This window comes from Homo sapiens, chromosome 3 (assembly GCF_000001405.40).
Source record: "Homo sapiens chromosome 3, GRCh38.p14 Primary Assembly".
NCBI classification, from domain to species: Eukaryota; Metazoa; Chordata; class Mammalia; order Primates; family Hominidae; genus Homo; species Homo sapiens.
In genome coordinates, this window is record NC_000003.12 from 118,486,987 (window position 1) to 118,503,510 (window position 16,524).

General features: G+C 38.0%; 1 long non-coding RNA gene across 2 annotated transcripts; it reads left to right on the forward strand.

Moving 5' to 3' along the window:
* Positions 1-1,813: 1,813 nt before the first annotated feature.
* Positions 1,814-6,872, forward strand: LOC105374058 (uncharacterized). Of its 2 annotated transcripts, XR_924378.2 has the most exons (3): positions 1,814-2,039; positions 4,554-4,738; positions 6,554-6,872. It is a non-coding gene; the product is annotated as an uncharacterized LOC105374058 (long non-coding RNA). The 2 variants fall into 2 exon arrangements; XR_007096025.1 differs by lacking the exon at positions 6,554-6,872 and having other exon boundaries at positions 4,554-4,774.
* The last annotated feature ends 9,652 nt before the right edge of the window (positions 6,873-16,524 follow it).

A 16,524-nucleotide genomic window follows, 5' to 3' on the forward strand; every position in this document is an offset into this window, starting at 1 on the left:
ATAAATTCTCATGGTAAGCACACTGTGCCATTTAAGCCTCACCATTCCATCTCCCTCACCAAGGAAATTCCACCACTGTAAGGTAAGCAACATTATTACCCCCATTATACAGACGAGACACTGCAACGGAGGGACAAAAATGACTTGCTCAGAGTCACACAGTTGGGGATGATGGAGATTTGTCTGACTGCCGGGAATACAGTCTTCACAATTATACTCTTTACTGTTCCTGAATATAATTAAATGCAAGTTAATTGGTCCAGGCTTGACCTCCAAGACAGGTGTCAAGGGGAAGGAAATCAGTAAGAATAACCTGGTCAGCTAGGAGATGGGAATAGGTTAGACTGGGCACAAGGAAAATTACAGACCAAAGACAAGTAAGTAAATAGATATTACTTAATAAAACACATTTGGGTTTTTTTTAAAACTCTAATTTGTAGTCAATTTTTACAGTAATTTTGAAAATCTTTAGAAAGTTTTAAATAAGTACTTCAGAATTCAGGCTTTCAATGATTGATTTCTTTTCTATTTCTTCCCTAAAGTCTCACTTGAAAGGATCTCTTGATGTCAAATATGGTTGTTTGTGTCATACAGAGAAACGAATAACATAAAAACAGGTTCTAATCCTTCTAGCAGATATTTTTCAAAGCTCATTTCACTTACAAATCATGTCTATATACTTACGTATTCATTTCCTTGCTGAATATTCCTTTTCTCCCCTCCTGTTCTCAACCAGAGCCTCGTATTCCCAGGAGTCCTCCCCAGGTGAAACCTCTGAAAGCCTGCTCATCACTGCCACAATTACCCCACAAATAAGGAGAGATGTAGGGCCATTTCCCCATCATTTTTCCCCTTAGGAGGAAACCAAGTCCTATCTGTACTGGTTCAGTCCTCCCTAGTCTGAGGTGGGGCACAGCAAGGCAATCATACATTCTCATCAAGGCTCAAGCACAATCGTGCTCTGGGGAATTTGTGTATAATCTAATTTATGTGGAGCCACTTCCAAGGGAGATCATGGAACTTCTGGTTTAATTGGGGTGATCTGGAACACTCAGCATCTGTCAGTGAGTAAAGAGATGATGGTGCATAAATAGAAATAGAAATTGCTCTGCACTCTCTCCTTAGCCTATGTACGTTTTCTCTGAAGCTCCCAGCTGTGATATTTCTTACTGATTTCCTACTCTTCTTGTTCTACCTTTTAATCTTTCTGGAATTCTCTTCTATTCTTTAACAAACAAGTTTATGTGGGGAGGGGTGAACTCCTTCCTGGAAGAGAGTGGGAGTCATCCCATACCCACCTAAGCGTCTCCACCCTCTCCGACAAAAGCCCCTGTGGGATTAGATGGATGGCAACAGGCTTGGGTGACATGGAGCTGTTGCCCTCGCCAACTAAAAAGCAGCTTTAATTATGTCTGTAACTCGAATTAACTAATTCAGAGCATATTTATTGAATGTTAACCACATGCTAGGCACTCTTCCAGGCACTGAGGATATAGCAGAGAGTAACCTTCCAGTGAGGAAATCATAAAAGCAGAATTAAAAAGTAAAACATATAGTATGTTCTTTGGTGATAAGTGCTATATAGAAAAATAAAGGATGAAAGGAGGAAGAGAATAATGGAATGGTAAGGTCAATTCTTTTTTTGTTGTTTGTTTGATAGGCCTTTTATTAAGAGTGTTTGCAACATGTCTCCTATGCCGTGGGTGTCAGTCAGTGTCACAATGCAAGCTTTGTTCTGAAAAAGAATCTCATAGATTTTATAGGCTCTAGAAGGAGAGTGACATTCCAATTTTCTCCCAATTCTATTGGAAGGTCAATCTTAAATGCTGTATAGGAGGATCTCATTGAGAAGATATCATTTGAGCAAAGATGTAAAGCAAGGGAGGGAATGAGTCAGTGGCTACATAGCGAGAGTGTCCTAGGCAGAGGAAACAGCTTCTACAAAAGCCCTGAAGCAAGAGAATGTTTGAAGTGTTCAAGAATAAACAGGAGATGCAGAATGAATGGAATTGAGAGTGAGTGAGGCAGTCGGATACAAGGTGTGTGAGGTGAGGGGGTGGGGTGCAGATAATAGAGGGCCTCTTGTTATTGAGCAAAAGGAGCTTGCTGCCATATGCACTAGAAGCCAATGCTATGACACCGGGTTTTGAGAAAATAAACACTGTGTATTGAAAGTCAACTCTCAAGGAGATAGGAGCCAAGCTCAAATCTCCCTATGCTGGCTTCAAGGCAGTATATTTTAACTAGAAAAGGTTCAGGGAGTGGATTTTGAGATTAGTAAGTGACTGGTGGAAGGAAAGGAGAGCTCTGGAAAGGCCTTGGGCACGTGCAGTTATCTCCTCATGCTACTTCTGGGTTGCATGTGCAAATTCAGGGGGAGTTAGTAGAAAACGTGGTGTAAATTTGGGCTGTGACATCAGCAAGCTCGCTCTGCACAGACTCCAGTAGGCCACATTGGTTCCAAAGGATTTCAGCCAGTTTTTTTAATCTCATAAGCAGAGGGAGATTCAGTGTTTCAGCAAGTTGGTTTTTTTTTTTCCTTTTCTTTTTTTATTTTTTTTTGTTTTGTTTTGTTTATCTTTTGAGATGGAGTCTTGCTCTGTCACCCAGGCTGGTGAGCAGTGGCATGATCTCAGCTCACTGAAACCTCTGCCTCCCAGGCTCCAGTGATTCTCCTGCCTCAGCCTCCCGAGTAGCTGGGATTACTGGTGCCCGCTACCATGCCTGGCTACTTTTTTTTGTATTTTTAGTAGAGATGGGGTTTCATCATGTTGGCCAGGCTGCTCTTGAAATCCTGACCCTGTTTTTTTTGTTGTTGTTTTTGTTTGTTTGTTTGTTTTTGGGTTTTTTTTTTGGTTTTGTTTTTCTTATCAGTCATCCTGCAAACTCAGGAATTTCTGTTACTCATTGGTTTATTTAACTCTTTAGGGCATGGTTTCACTCTGGAGCCACTGTAAGAACTTTTTTGGCTTTTACTCTGAGTGAGATGGGAACCATTGCATATTTGAGTACAGATGTGATATAATTTGACTTATGTTTGAACAGAGCTAATATAAACTAAGAGTATTCTCAAGGTCAACTGGGCATATTTATTCATATTAAAGAGTTTTAGAACATTCTTTCTACTAGATACTGTCTGGAAGACAACATTGTTTAGGAAATTATCCACTTTTTCAGGGAGTTGGCAATCTCTTAGAAATGATGAGCCAAATATTTGGAAAGCAGTTAGTGCTTCAGACAGATGAAAAATTATGATTGTAGGTAAAGGACTTTGAACAATTAAGAAGAACATTAATAGGAATCTTCCAGAATAGTTTCATAGAGAGGAAGGGACAGAAACAAAGAAATGAAAAACTGAGGGAGAAGTTTTGAAGGATTAGGCAAATATTGTTATTTTAATGATATGTCCACAAATTCTCTGATATCCCTCCCTTTGAAAAGTGAATCTTGGCTTATAATCAAAAGACAGGCAATAAAAAATGCTGGTGAGGATGTGGAGAAAAAGGAACCCTTACACTGTTGGTGGAAATGTAAATTAGTACAACCACTATGGAAGTCAGTTTGGAGGGTCCTCAACAAACTAAAAATTGAGCTACCATATGATCCAGCAACCCCTTTGCTGAATATATATGCAAAAGAAAGGACATCAGTATATTGAAAATATATCTATACTCCTATGTTTATTGCAGCACTGTTTACAATAGCTAAGATTTAGAAGCAACCTAAGTATCCATCAACAGATGAATGGATAAAGAAAATGTGGTACATACACAAAATAGAGTTAGGGTACTATTCAGCCATAAAAAAAGAATAAGATCCAGTCATTTGCAACAACATGGTTGAACTGGTTAAATGAAATAAGGCAGGCACAGAAAGACAAACATCACATGTTCTCACTTATTTGTGGGATCTAAAAATCAAAACAATTGAACTTATGGAAATAGAGAGTAGAAGGATGGTTGCCATAGGCTGGGAAAGGCAGTGAGGGAGCTGAGGGGAGGTAGGGATGGCTAACAGGCACACACACACACACACATAAAAATAGAAAGAGTGAATAAGATGTACTACTTGATAGCACAATATGGTGACTATAGTCAATAATAACATAATTGTATATTTTAAAGTAACTTAAACAGTATAATTGGATTGTTTGTAACTCAAAGGATAAATGCTTGAGGGGATGGATATCCCATTCTCCATGATGTGCTTATTTCACACTGAAATAAGGAATCTTGGAGGCCTGTATCAAACAATCTCATTACGCCATAAATATATACACCTACTATGTACCCACAAAAAAAAAAGTTTCTAAAAAGTGATTCTTAATCCACTTATTGAATATAGACTGGACTTAATGATTCACTTTTAGCAAACAGAATATAGATGACGTGATGGAGGAAAAATCTGAGACTGGGTTATAAAAAGACTGCAGCTGCTGGCTTGGGTGCACTTTCTGACTTGCCTATACTCTGTCTTTCTCTCTCTCTCTCTCTTCCCCACTCTTCCTCTTATCACTCATTCTGAGGAAAGCCATTTCTTGATCTTTTTCATAGAGAGACTAATATGGGGCAGCACTGAAGACTGCTGACAGCAGCCACATGAGTGAGCTCAGAGTGGACACAACAGCCCCTTCAGAGGCTGCAGGGATGGCAGACAGCCTGACTGCAATGTCGTGAAAGATGCTGAGGCAGAACCATGCAGCAAAGTCATTCCCAGATTCCTGACTCTCAGAAAATGTGTGAGATAATAAATGCTATTATTTTAAGCTGCTAAATTTTGGGGCAATTTACTACTTAGCAGTAGATGCCTAACACAAGGTATATTCATGAATAGAATGAACGTAGATAAAAACTGAAAGAATATTAACTTGAGAGAAGAAGAGGCGATTTGATATGTTTACTTTTTTGTTGTTGTTTGTTTGTTTTGTTTTTTGGAGACTAGGTCTGGCTCTATGGGCTGGAGTGCAGTGGCACAATCTGGGCTCAATGCAACCTCTGCCTCCCAGGCTCAAGTGATACTCCTGACTCAGCCTCCCAAGTAGCCTGGACTACGGGCACATACCACCACATCTGGCTAATTCTTGTATTTTTAGTAGAGACAGGGTTTTGCCATGTTGGCCAGGCTGGTCTTCAGCTGGCCTCAAGTGATCCGCCCGCCTCAGCCTCCCAAAGTGCTGGGATTACAGGCATGAGCCACCACTCCTGGCATGTTTGCAGTTTCAAATATGGAAGACTTTATGCTAGTCATTAATTTTTCTGAATTGCAAGTAACAAATATGCATGAAGTGCCCAAAATATCTTAGGCACTGTTGCATCAGTTACGCAGGTGAATTATGAAGTCTTTCAAAGTTCTCTATAAGCTGAACTCTGTATCCCCACGCATTAAAGTATGAGTGTCTATCACAGAAATTGAATGTAGTAAATTCTAAGGGCAGGGACAACATTTGCATCATAGATTTGCCCTTCATAGCAAAATTGTCTCTCTCTTTTGCCAAATATAGGAATTAAACTTAATTTCCTGTCCCTTAAAAAATAATATTTGTGATTTAAAAGTAAAGACTACTCTAGAATGTTATGTAAAGTTGTATCCTTTAACTGAGTAAATAGCTGTATTACAACTGAGATAGCACTTTGTAAGTTTCCTTTTCTTCTTTGTTTAGATTAATAATATTTATCATAAAATGATATATACACCTTTTAAAGAAGTTAAGCACAGTTCAGATAAGAATTTTAAGATTTACACTTAATGTATCATCCAGTAACTATCATTTTTAACATTAGGTAAACTTCATTTCAGACACAGAGAGAAGAGTGAATGGAAAGATGGGTGAGGGATAGATATATAGATAAATTAATGCAGAAATAATTTTACAAAAATCGTATCATACCATAATATGTTGCTTTTTCATTTGTATTCTAAAATGAGCTTAAAAAAGATATAGGAAAAACTGCTGGATTTTATATAAATATTCTTAAGATAGGAAATATTGTTTCTAAAAAGATAAAATAAATTTAAGAAAGAAATAATTAGAGGAATATTAAGAAGTTGGAGTCATAATGGTTCTTTTTTAACTAAATGTGTCAAATTTAGTCAATAGTGATTGATTGCTTGTTCTGAAAAATGAGGAAATTAGCACTCCCACCCACACACCTATCCTGCCCCATCTCCAGATTTTATTATGTTATTTTAATAACATCAAGTTATATATCATTTGCCTTCTGTTCTGAAATATTTGCCAGTTTTCTCTTAGTTTTGTATTAGTATGGATTTAGCATTCATACCAATACCCTCACCATAACTCTCCCATTTCTAAGTTTAAAAAAATTTATATTTCAATTGGCTCTATTTCATCAACTACATTTTACAAAATAATAATATAGTCCTCAAGTTCCTGCATGTTTAGGGATATCTGCCTAGTCCTTTCATACATAAACAACCACTTGAAATTTATAAAAATCATAAATCACTTTTCTTTCTTAGAATCTCATAGATTTTTTTTCTTTCTTTTCTCTTTCTCTTTCTTTCTTTCTTTTTTCTCTTTCTTTGTATTTAGTGTTACTTTAGAGAAGTCTGAACTTGCCCTTTTTTTCATCTTTATGCCTGAGGAAATTTTTCTTTATCATCAAAGAACTCTGAGAATTGATGGGCACTGTGTTAGAGCAAGTGGGAAGTATAGACACAGCTTCCCATGTTAAGCACGAGCAAGAAGAAAATAATTTGAATGGAAACTATTCAAATATATCACAGTGATCAAAGATTTAAAAGTGGATGAAAAGAGACAGCTCAAGAACCCAATTCAGAAGACAGCATAGCTCAAGGAGTAAGCGGTGAAGTGAGCTACATCTACAAATACTTTTGTTGTTGTTCTTTCCTGTGTTCTATCATTTGGGCAGTTTTGCTCTATTACAGTCACATGACTCTAAAAGCAGGACATGGTTGAGAGACAAAACATTTAAGTCTAATATTTTTGCCACTATGTTTGTAGGTGTTCCAAGGTTTGGGGAAGATAAAGCTCAGGTTAAAGATTAGATTAAGTGGCAGGGCTCTGGGGACATTTCATATCATGCCCTGAAAAACATACATACCATGCTTCTAGAGGCCCTGCTTTACTATGCTAGACAAAATACAGACCATCCCCCTGCAAAGAGGGCCACACCAGGCTAGATTTATTCAGAAGCAAAGTGAACACAGTGTGTGAACTGATAGCCTAGCCAGAGCTTTCTCCTCTGGTGGGCTCTGCTGATGAAGCCTGTGTTATCAGTCTTGGGGTGACAGCTAGTCACCTAGTGACTAGTGACATAGCTAGTCACAGTGCTATGTCACCATTGCTTGTGACCAGCATCTGTTGAGATAGGCCAGTGCCCACATTATTCTAATTATTAAGTATTTTAGATAGCTCCTTGTGTTAATTTTCCATTGTTGTATAACAAATTAGCACAAACTTAACAGTTTGAAATAGTACCCAATATGTCTATAGGTGAAATTTGGGTGGGCTTAAATAGGTTCTCTGCTCAGAGTCTCATAAGGTTTAAATCAAGGTATCAGCCAGATTCAGCTCTCATTTGGAGCTCTGGGTTCTCTGCCAAGCTTATTCAGATTGTTAGCAGAATTCAGTCCCTTGTGGTGTAGGACTGTGGTTTCCATTTTCTTGCTGACCATCTGATGGGAGTTGCTCTCAGCTCCTAGAGGTCACCTTCAGGTCCTACCCATGTGGACCTCCCACAACATGGCAGCTTCTTTCTTCAAAGCCAGTAGGAGACTCTCTAGTCAGAATATATCTCTATCTCTAGTAAGAAGACTATATAGATAATTTCTACGTAGTCTACAAGGTAATATAATCACAGGAATGACTATCTTATCACATTCACAGCTCCCATCCACACTCAAGGGAAGATGGTTGTACAAGGCACATACAACAGTGAAAAGGAATCTTGGAGGACATCTTAGAATTCTACCTACCACACCCTCTACTATATTGCTTGCTTTGATTCCTTGCCTGCCTAAACATTTAGGATCATCCAAACCACTCATGTTTAGATGAACTTCTATCTCTGATCCCTTCCTAGCTAGCTCTGTTCTGTAGGATGGCCACTCACAGGCATGACAATATTTACTTGGTACATATTTTGAAGAAACATCAATACAAATGTGCTTAAAAATTGTATAGAATACTTTGGGGAAACACAAAAGAAGCTAAGCTGATAATACAAAAGTGAGTATCACTTTATACCGTCTATGATGGCTATAACTTTTTTAATGGGAATTAAATGTTGGCCAGGATGTGGAGAATATGGGAACCATGTACCCTGCTGGTGGGAATGTAAAATGTTTCAGCCACTATGGAAAACAGTTTGACAGTTTCTCAAATTACCATAGATTTAGCATAGATCTAGCAATTCTACTTCTAGGTACATATTCAGAAGAACTGAAAACTGATACTCAAACAAATACATATATACTCATATTCATAGCAGCACTATTCAAAATGACCAGAAAGTGAAAACAACCCAAATGTTCATCAATGGACAAATAGATAAACAAATTGTGGCATATACATAGAATAGAATACTATTCATTTATAAGAAATGAAATACCGATACATGCTACAACATGGATGAACCTCAAAAATATTTGAAGTAAAAAGAGCCAGTCATGAAAGACCACACATTGTAGAATTTCATGTATATGAAATATCTCGAATAGGCAAATTCATAGAAACAGAAAGCAGATTGGTGGTTACCAGAGAACAGAGGGAGAAGAATATGGGAAGCAACTGCTTAATGAATACAAGATTTCTTTTGTGGGCGCTGAAAATGTTTTGACACTAGATAGATGTGGTGGTTGCAAAACATTGTGAATGTACTAAATATCACTAAATTGTTACTTTAAGATGGTCAATTTTATGTTATCTGTTTTGTAACACATAACACTGTCTTCTCCACGATGAACACTAAGAGAAATTCTGATAAGCATTTAGGCCTATATTGTTGCAAAACATAGCACATTTTTATACCCCTTTTTCTTAGCATAAACATGATTCAGCACATGCAAAGTCCAAAAAGAACCGAGATTAAGAGAATCATAGAAGTTCCAGTATGAGTCTAAAAAATATACTCACAAATAGAATGAAAATAGAAATAAAGAGCAATTAAAATCAGAGCAATGACAATCAATGATACCTAAGCATGGCATTTCTGTTTCTCTCATAACATACCCGGCCTTCTGTAAGGTAATATGCAAATGGAGATGATCAGATCAGTGCTTACTGAAATTTATACTATTCTAATGATACTTTCTAATAGGAAAAAATAAAATTATGTTGGCCAGATGTACTTTAAAAATTTATATTGGTTTTTAACCCTCTTTATATATTAATTATGGACTTTTCTAAATTAGTTGAGAAATAAGCATTTTAAAATATCAACATAGAAGTGATGCTTATCCACTAACAGTCCTGTTTTGGCAGTGTCATGTCTATGTCTACACAATAAAGTTTGGAAAAAACTGCAATGACATATTCTAATACTTGTACTCTATTCTACAAAAATCTAGGGTTTCTTGGGAGCCATCATTAAGGTGAAGAACAGAGAAGGCATCCTAGCACCAGAGTTCCAGGCAGCCCCAACCCATACTCACCCATACAGCAGCTCCCCTTTGTATCTGTCTTACATAGTATGCTTCCTGATGTTACCTGAAAAGGGGTTTAAAAATGTGCAATTTACAAAAATGCATGGAAAATATGAAATACACATATTGAATCTTTTTTCAATACACATATTGAATCTTTATTCAAAAATACACGTAATCTTTATTCTCATAAAATTAATTAAAATACTGAGACAAATATATAAATCATAAGATATGTTGAAAGCAGTGTCTCTTTAATATCAATTGGATGCTTATTAGATTAAATATCATCAGTGGAGAGTAAAGCCAATGAAAGAAGAAAAGTGTGTGGGTTTTTTATACAAAATGCTGAAAATATTTCAATGAAAATTATGCCTAGAAGACAAGGTAAAATTAACAATTTTATAATATTTTGCAACCCTCTGAGAACCAAAGATCAACCATGAAATATGCAGTACTTCTGCTCATCAGATCTCTAAACACATTCTCAGAAATATACTATGCACACACCAAAGGACTGGCTTTATGTTTCTCAGTCAGAAGGAGAGAAACTATAGTCACTTGATCCTGCCTCAGTTATGTAGCTTTCATAATTGACACTACTATCCCGTATCAGCTCTGCTAATGATAAGCCTGAAAGAATTTTTCCACATATGTGGGCCTTGCAAACTCAGCCCCAAAATGCCTCTAATATCTTGGGCTGTTACTTAAATTTTGACATTTATGTGTCCTATTTCTTCAGTTAAGCTAGAGTATCTTTTAAAACAGGGACTATAGCCTATGTGTCTGGGTCTTTCCCACAGCGATAGCACATGCCTGATTCTGAATGAATGACCATGAAACATCAGTGTGATAATGTGCTGATGTCAGTGATCCTGATCACAATAGCCATCATAATGGAAAGTGCAAACACCCAGGACTCTTAGTACCAACTCGAATAGGGACAAAATGCTGAATATGTATGTATGAATGCTCAACCTGACATCAGCAGGAAACCCACAAACTTAAGCAAAAAATAAATCTTTCCGAAAGAACAAACATGTGATGCTACAAGGATTAAAAACTTTATCCCTAAAAGTCCCAAAGCAGTCACAAATAATACAATAGACCAAGTACTGAAAGGGCAATTTGCTTCTGAGAGTAAAGATTTAGAACTGGAGAGGAGCTCTGGCCAGATTTAAATAATGGCAGAAGGATCAAAAATAAGAGATGGTAGAGGATCAATTGACCGGCCTGTGTGTTGATCCCTAAAGCAGAGTGACACAGATGCCAACACCTGCATTTGAGTCCATTTATTTTGAAAAGCACATTCAGTTCAAGCTTCCGTGTTTTCAAGGTTATTCTGAAAAGTGTATATATAAGGTTATCAGGTATGCAGTTTTTAAATATGGAACATGGCCTAACTAGATGGGGTAGAGGGTTTGGTCTTCATTAATATTTGATTTCTAGTAGGTTAAAATATGGGGCTGTTACATATTTAACTATGGTTGATCACTGAATTACAAAATGTAAATGTGTTCAAGTATGTATTTTTATTTAGCAACCCATTTTGAAACAAATTGCTCTTTAAGAAATTGTAAGTCAAACACAAATTTATATTTATTATTATATGACAAACTTTACAAAACATTTCTTCAGATATTTTCATGAAACATCTAAATATGGAATCCAAGAAAATAATTAAAGAGACCTGCATGTTAAGCCAATACCAGATTAGAATAGTGATAAAAATACTTAATACTTTTAATTCTTTTACTATAGGCTGAAACAATGCTAGCAAATGAATTATTTTATATAATTATCACGATAATACAATGAGGTTCATATTTACTATCTACATGTTACAGATAAGGTATGTAGGTTTAAAGTGGTTTAAAGTAGCTTTCTAATCATCAGCCAATTAGAAAAGGAATCTGAATTTAGACTTAGGCTTTCTAATTTCAGAACTCACACCCTTCAACACTGGTCCACCCTGGAAGTTGGAAAGAAATATCTTCACTGACATGAGAACAACATATTTGCCTAATGTTTGTCATTTTTATTTTAAAAAACACATTTCCTTCATGTGCAATTTTAAATTATAATTGGATGTATAATATCTCGAGACCCTGGCTTTTTCTTTAAGCACAATTTCTCCTTTTTTATTACATAAAAAGTAATGAGAAAAATAGATATTCATTCGACAAAAGAATGTTCAAGCCTAGTTACTTAATGAGCCTTTATTTGCATTTGGACCCTAAAATTATCCCATCCCTTCACTCCATGTATCCTGTATTTCTGATTTTCCTCTAAGAACCAGGACTCAATTCCTGCTCCATGACTACATTTGGAACTTCACTGCTGAGTTTCCGGTTCTGCTAGAGCTTCCAAGAATGGTGGGCTAAAGTCCCTTTCCTCGATAATCTCATTTCTCATGGTTTTCTACTTAAAGCAATACTGTCTATGAAGTGCAACCTGGCTCTTCCTTCTCCCGTAATCATTGCCTCTCTGGATTTTCCTTCTTCCAAGACTCCCTTTCCTGATTCCCTTTAACACCCCTTTCATAATTCACATCCAGAGAGTTCTCTGCAATCACCTACCCATCCCAATCTCCATTATTTATTTCATGTTATTACCTTTCACAATTCATATAGTAAATGTTACTTAGAACAGAGGCTGCTCTAGTGTTTCATTGATTTGTCTCATTTTATTTCTGGTCATTGAATGGCACAGTGATATCACATGAGGTTGGACAGAGTTATTTTCCATCGCCATCATAAAGCTTTATGACTATAAGTGGGTTTGTCTTTTACCAGTTCACTGTCTTCCTCTAAAGATGGTCTCTCCTATCTCTTGCGTAGGACGCACTAATCACTAATGTCCCACAGAAGGATATCCTGAGCTGTCCTTGGAGCCATTTGGCATGGAACCTTACAGAGTGCCCCTACCCTCTGTGCCTGGCTTCCATCCTCCTGACTCTTTGTGACTTTCAGATCTTAAAACTAAAATCAGGTGCAACACTTAACCTCCAGAGGAATAATCTGTGGCTCTTACACGGAGATGATTGATAAACACTTTCCCCTCTCTTTTCTTATGTTTGTTTTCTTAATTAGATTTATTGTTTTTCTATTCTCTCCTCTCCCTCAAGGTACATGTGCACACGTATCCACTCCCGCAATGTGGCAAAGGCTTGGAAAGGTACCCTTCCCCAGCCTTCCTCCCCAGACTCTAACCTCTTTGAAATGGGCAGGAAGGAGAAGTTCTCTTTGATGTTCATTTGAATGTGCTTATATCTTGATTCCTCTGTGCGTTTACATCTTTTATTCATGTGCACTTTAAATACCCCCATTAAATTAAATAATCATTGAGATAGGAACAGTGTCTATGATTTCTGTTGGAGCTTCCTTCTATTTCCCAAGATGCGGCTCTCTGCACACTGAACTCTCCTGACTTTCTTCACCCAGCTGACTTGAAAATCAGATGAAATGGTGAGCCTCACCTCCAGACTGTGCATACAACTAAATGTAATGCTATGGTTCAAACAACAAGCATCCTCTTTGGAAGAAGAAATACTTTGAGGGCTGGGAGCGGTGTCTCATACCTGTAATCTGAACACTTTGGGAGGCCAAGGTGGGTGGATCACCTGAGATCAGGAGTTGGAGACCAGCCTGGCCAACATGGTGAAACCCCATCTCTACTAAAAATATAAAAAATTAGCCGGGCATGGTGATGTGCACCTGCAGTCCCAGCTACTCAGGAGGCTGAGGCAGGAGAATCGCTTGAGTCCGGGAGGCAGAGGTTGCAGTGAGCCAAGATCGTGCCACTGCACTCCGGCCTGGGTAACAGAGCAAAACTCCGTCTCAAAAAAAAAAGGAAATAATTTGAGCTAGTGCGTTTTCTCAGATTTAAGTGCCTTAAACTGTCACCTACCTCAAACACAACTCTTTTCTAGTAATTTTTTTAAAATTCACCCATAGAATCATGCTCAGAAATGCTGGCAGACAGTGGGGAAATCTAGACTGTAATCCTGCTTCTACCCCTTCCTAGCCCTATATCCTTGAGCAGGTTATTCCACATCTCTGAGCCCCAGTTCCCTCAGGAGTTAAATAAGATAATGTAAGCCAGTGCGTGGCCCATGCTAGGCTCTCAAAACATGTTAGCTATTTTTATAATTTATGTATACCAAAGTTTATGGATCCTTTTGTCACTCTCCAATGCCCTAAATATAGTTAAGAAATCTTCCCAACAGTTGCTTTATGATTATAGGGCTCTTGTTCCAAACAATCTAGAAATCTGCAAAGAAACTCATGAGTAGAATATGGTCATGTTTACATATTAAGCAGCCTTTTTGGCAATTCAGCAATAAAAAAAAAAGTGCTCTAAAAAGGGGAAGGGAAATATGAAAAGAAAAAAATCCTTTTGAAATAACGATTTCATCTTTTGTTCCGGCCTGTCTTGGGGTAAAGAAATGCCAATTTAGAAAGTCCCTGGAGCTAAGCAAATTCTCTACCATCAGCTCCTGGGCTGCATCAGCAAAGCGAGGTCTGCTTTCAGGAAATGTGAGCCCAAGAGTCTTCCTGAAGCATTCTCCACACTGATGCCACTGCCTTGCTGTACTTCTGAAGGCCACAGAGGGCAGTGGGACAACTGCCAGGCCCTCCCCTACTTGGCATAAAACTCAGGCAGGCTCTTGGCCTGATGAGGCAGCCCTCTCTACTTCCCTTGTTCCCTGCCTCCCTCACTCCCTCCTGGATATTAAACTCACTGTGGTTTCATCCACTTTATCATCTCATTTGCTTTCTGATCTGATCCCAGGCTGCCATGTGGCTGATCAAAGGCAGATGTGAGCTCTCAGCTTCACAAAGGAGCCCCTGTATTCAAACAAACATGTTAATTTATTGTCTCCTTGCTGGCAGCTCCCTTCCCTTGCTCTCTCCTACGTTTCCCAATATATTCATTCGCTTTCCATGCCCCCTCCTGCTATTTACTCTTTCTTTCTCCTCTCTTGTTGTGACCTTTTCATTTTCATTTCTCTTTAAAATCTCTCCGTTTTCTCACTCATATTCTATTGTAGGTTAAAACGATAAAATTGCTTTTACTGCCATTTCATCATCCTCATACCTGAAAAAAAAATTATACCAACATTTTTTTAAACCTCATAGAAGTTATTTTCAGCAGCCAAATTTGTTTGTAATAGTGGCATATGTTATCAAGTTCCAGTTTTGTTTTCTTCTCCTGTCTGCCCCTCTCATTCGATATTTCCCACCTCCCCCTTCTCTCTGTCTCCTTGCCTCCTTTCAGGGTTGCCTTTCTCTTTGCCCTTTCCTTTCCTCATCTCTCTCTTTCCTTTTTATGTCCCTCCCCTCTGAGACAGTCACCCCTTTGCATTCTCTCCAACCCCTACCATGCTGCTGCTTTCCTCTCTGCTGACTTTTTGCTGAGGTGCTACTTTCAAGGTTTTAAAATTCAGTAAATCCTTGATAGTTTGCCCTAATTTGGAGAGAAGGTCAATCAGAAGTAATAAGCCCAAGAAACAGAATATTTTACAGAAATCTGCCAGTTGAAGGATATTAAGTGAACACAATATGATTATTGACAGAAAATAAGGAAAGCTATTCACAGAACTACCAATAACAACTTACTAAGTTCTCAGGGCTGTGGGTGATTCACAGATGAACAGGCTTGATCCCTGCTCTCAAGGAGAGTAAATTATAGTACAGATAATACAGCACACTTGTGTATTACCTTAATAAAGGCACAGTGTGTGAGAAGCCGCTTCATTTGACAAACATTAATCCCATAAACTGTAGTTAGAGCTGTAGAACACTCAAATGTAAATCTGACATCAACTTCACCCTCAGGACACATAGATTCTAATAGAGGATCAATTTATACATAAATAATTACTATGCAAATCAAAAAACACAACAAACAAATAAAATCCATATAGTAAAGGTCAAGAGAAAATCCAGGGGAACATAATTAATTTAAGCAGGAATATAGGGATGCTGTCATGACAGAGATGTCATTTCACCTGGACCTTGACAGATGGTTTGGATTTGGTAGTTAGTAAAAGGTAAAAGCCCTACAAGGGCCAGATAAACTTAATGCCAGGTTCTGTTCATTATGAGAGAATTGGGATCCCCTGTCTGAGGAGTCCGAGGCTGAGTCCAGGCCTGCTGGGGTACTGTGCTGTGATGCTGTGACTGATTAGCAGTCTCTCCCTTGGACCCAAGTGGGACAGTAGAATCGTGCATGTCCCACTTGTGACTTCTTGTGCTAGGGAGAAAGCTCTGCACGCATGAGCACAGGTTCAGAGGTAGGAAAGTGATGGGGACATTAAGGGGGCAGAAGAGTGGCTAGTGTGGCTGTTGAGCAGGTTGTGAAAGGAGGCAACCAAGGTGAGACTAGAAAGATCAGCAGGTGCCATATTGTGGAGGCCTTTGAACATCATGTATAGGAGTCAAATATTCAAGATTTTTAAGCAGGGGAAGATAGAACCAACTTTGTGCCAAATCTATTGAAGAGGGAATATATTGGATGAAGAAAGACCAACTAGGAAGCTACTGCAATCCCTCAGCAAGTGACGATAGAGACTTCTTTTAATAAGTATGATGGCAGTGGAAAGAAGGGATTTGATTCAAGCAATATATCTATGGTAGAATCTCTTGAGGAAGAAGACGAGGAATTGGAAATGAGACAGATTGGCTAGGATAATGATGATACCAGTAACCAAGGGTGGGAGACGACAAAGGATGACTGTTTAAGAGAGAAATGAATATAATTGATTTTATTCATATTCAGTTTTGGATATTGGTGAATATAGCAGCAATAGTGGGGAGAAAGCATAGAAGATGAGAGATCATTTGAATACATTTTGGGGCAAAATTGCATAAGCCCAGGAGCTGAAAGCCCATT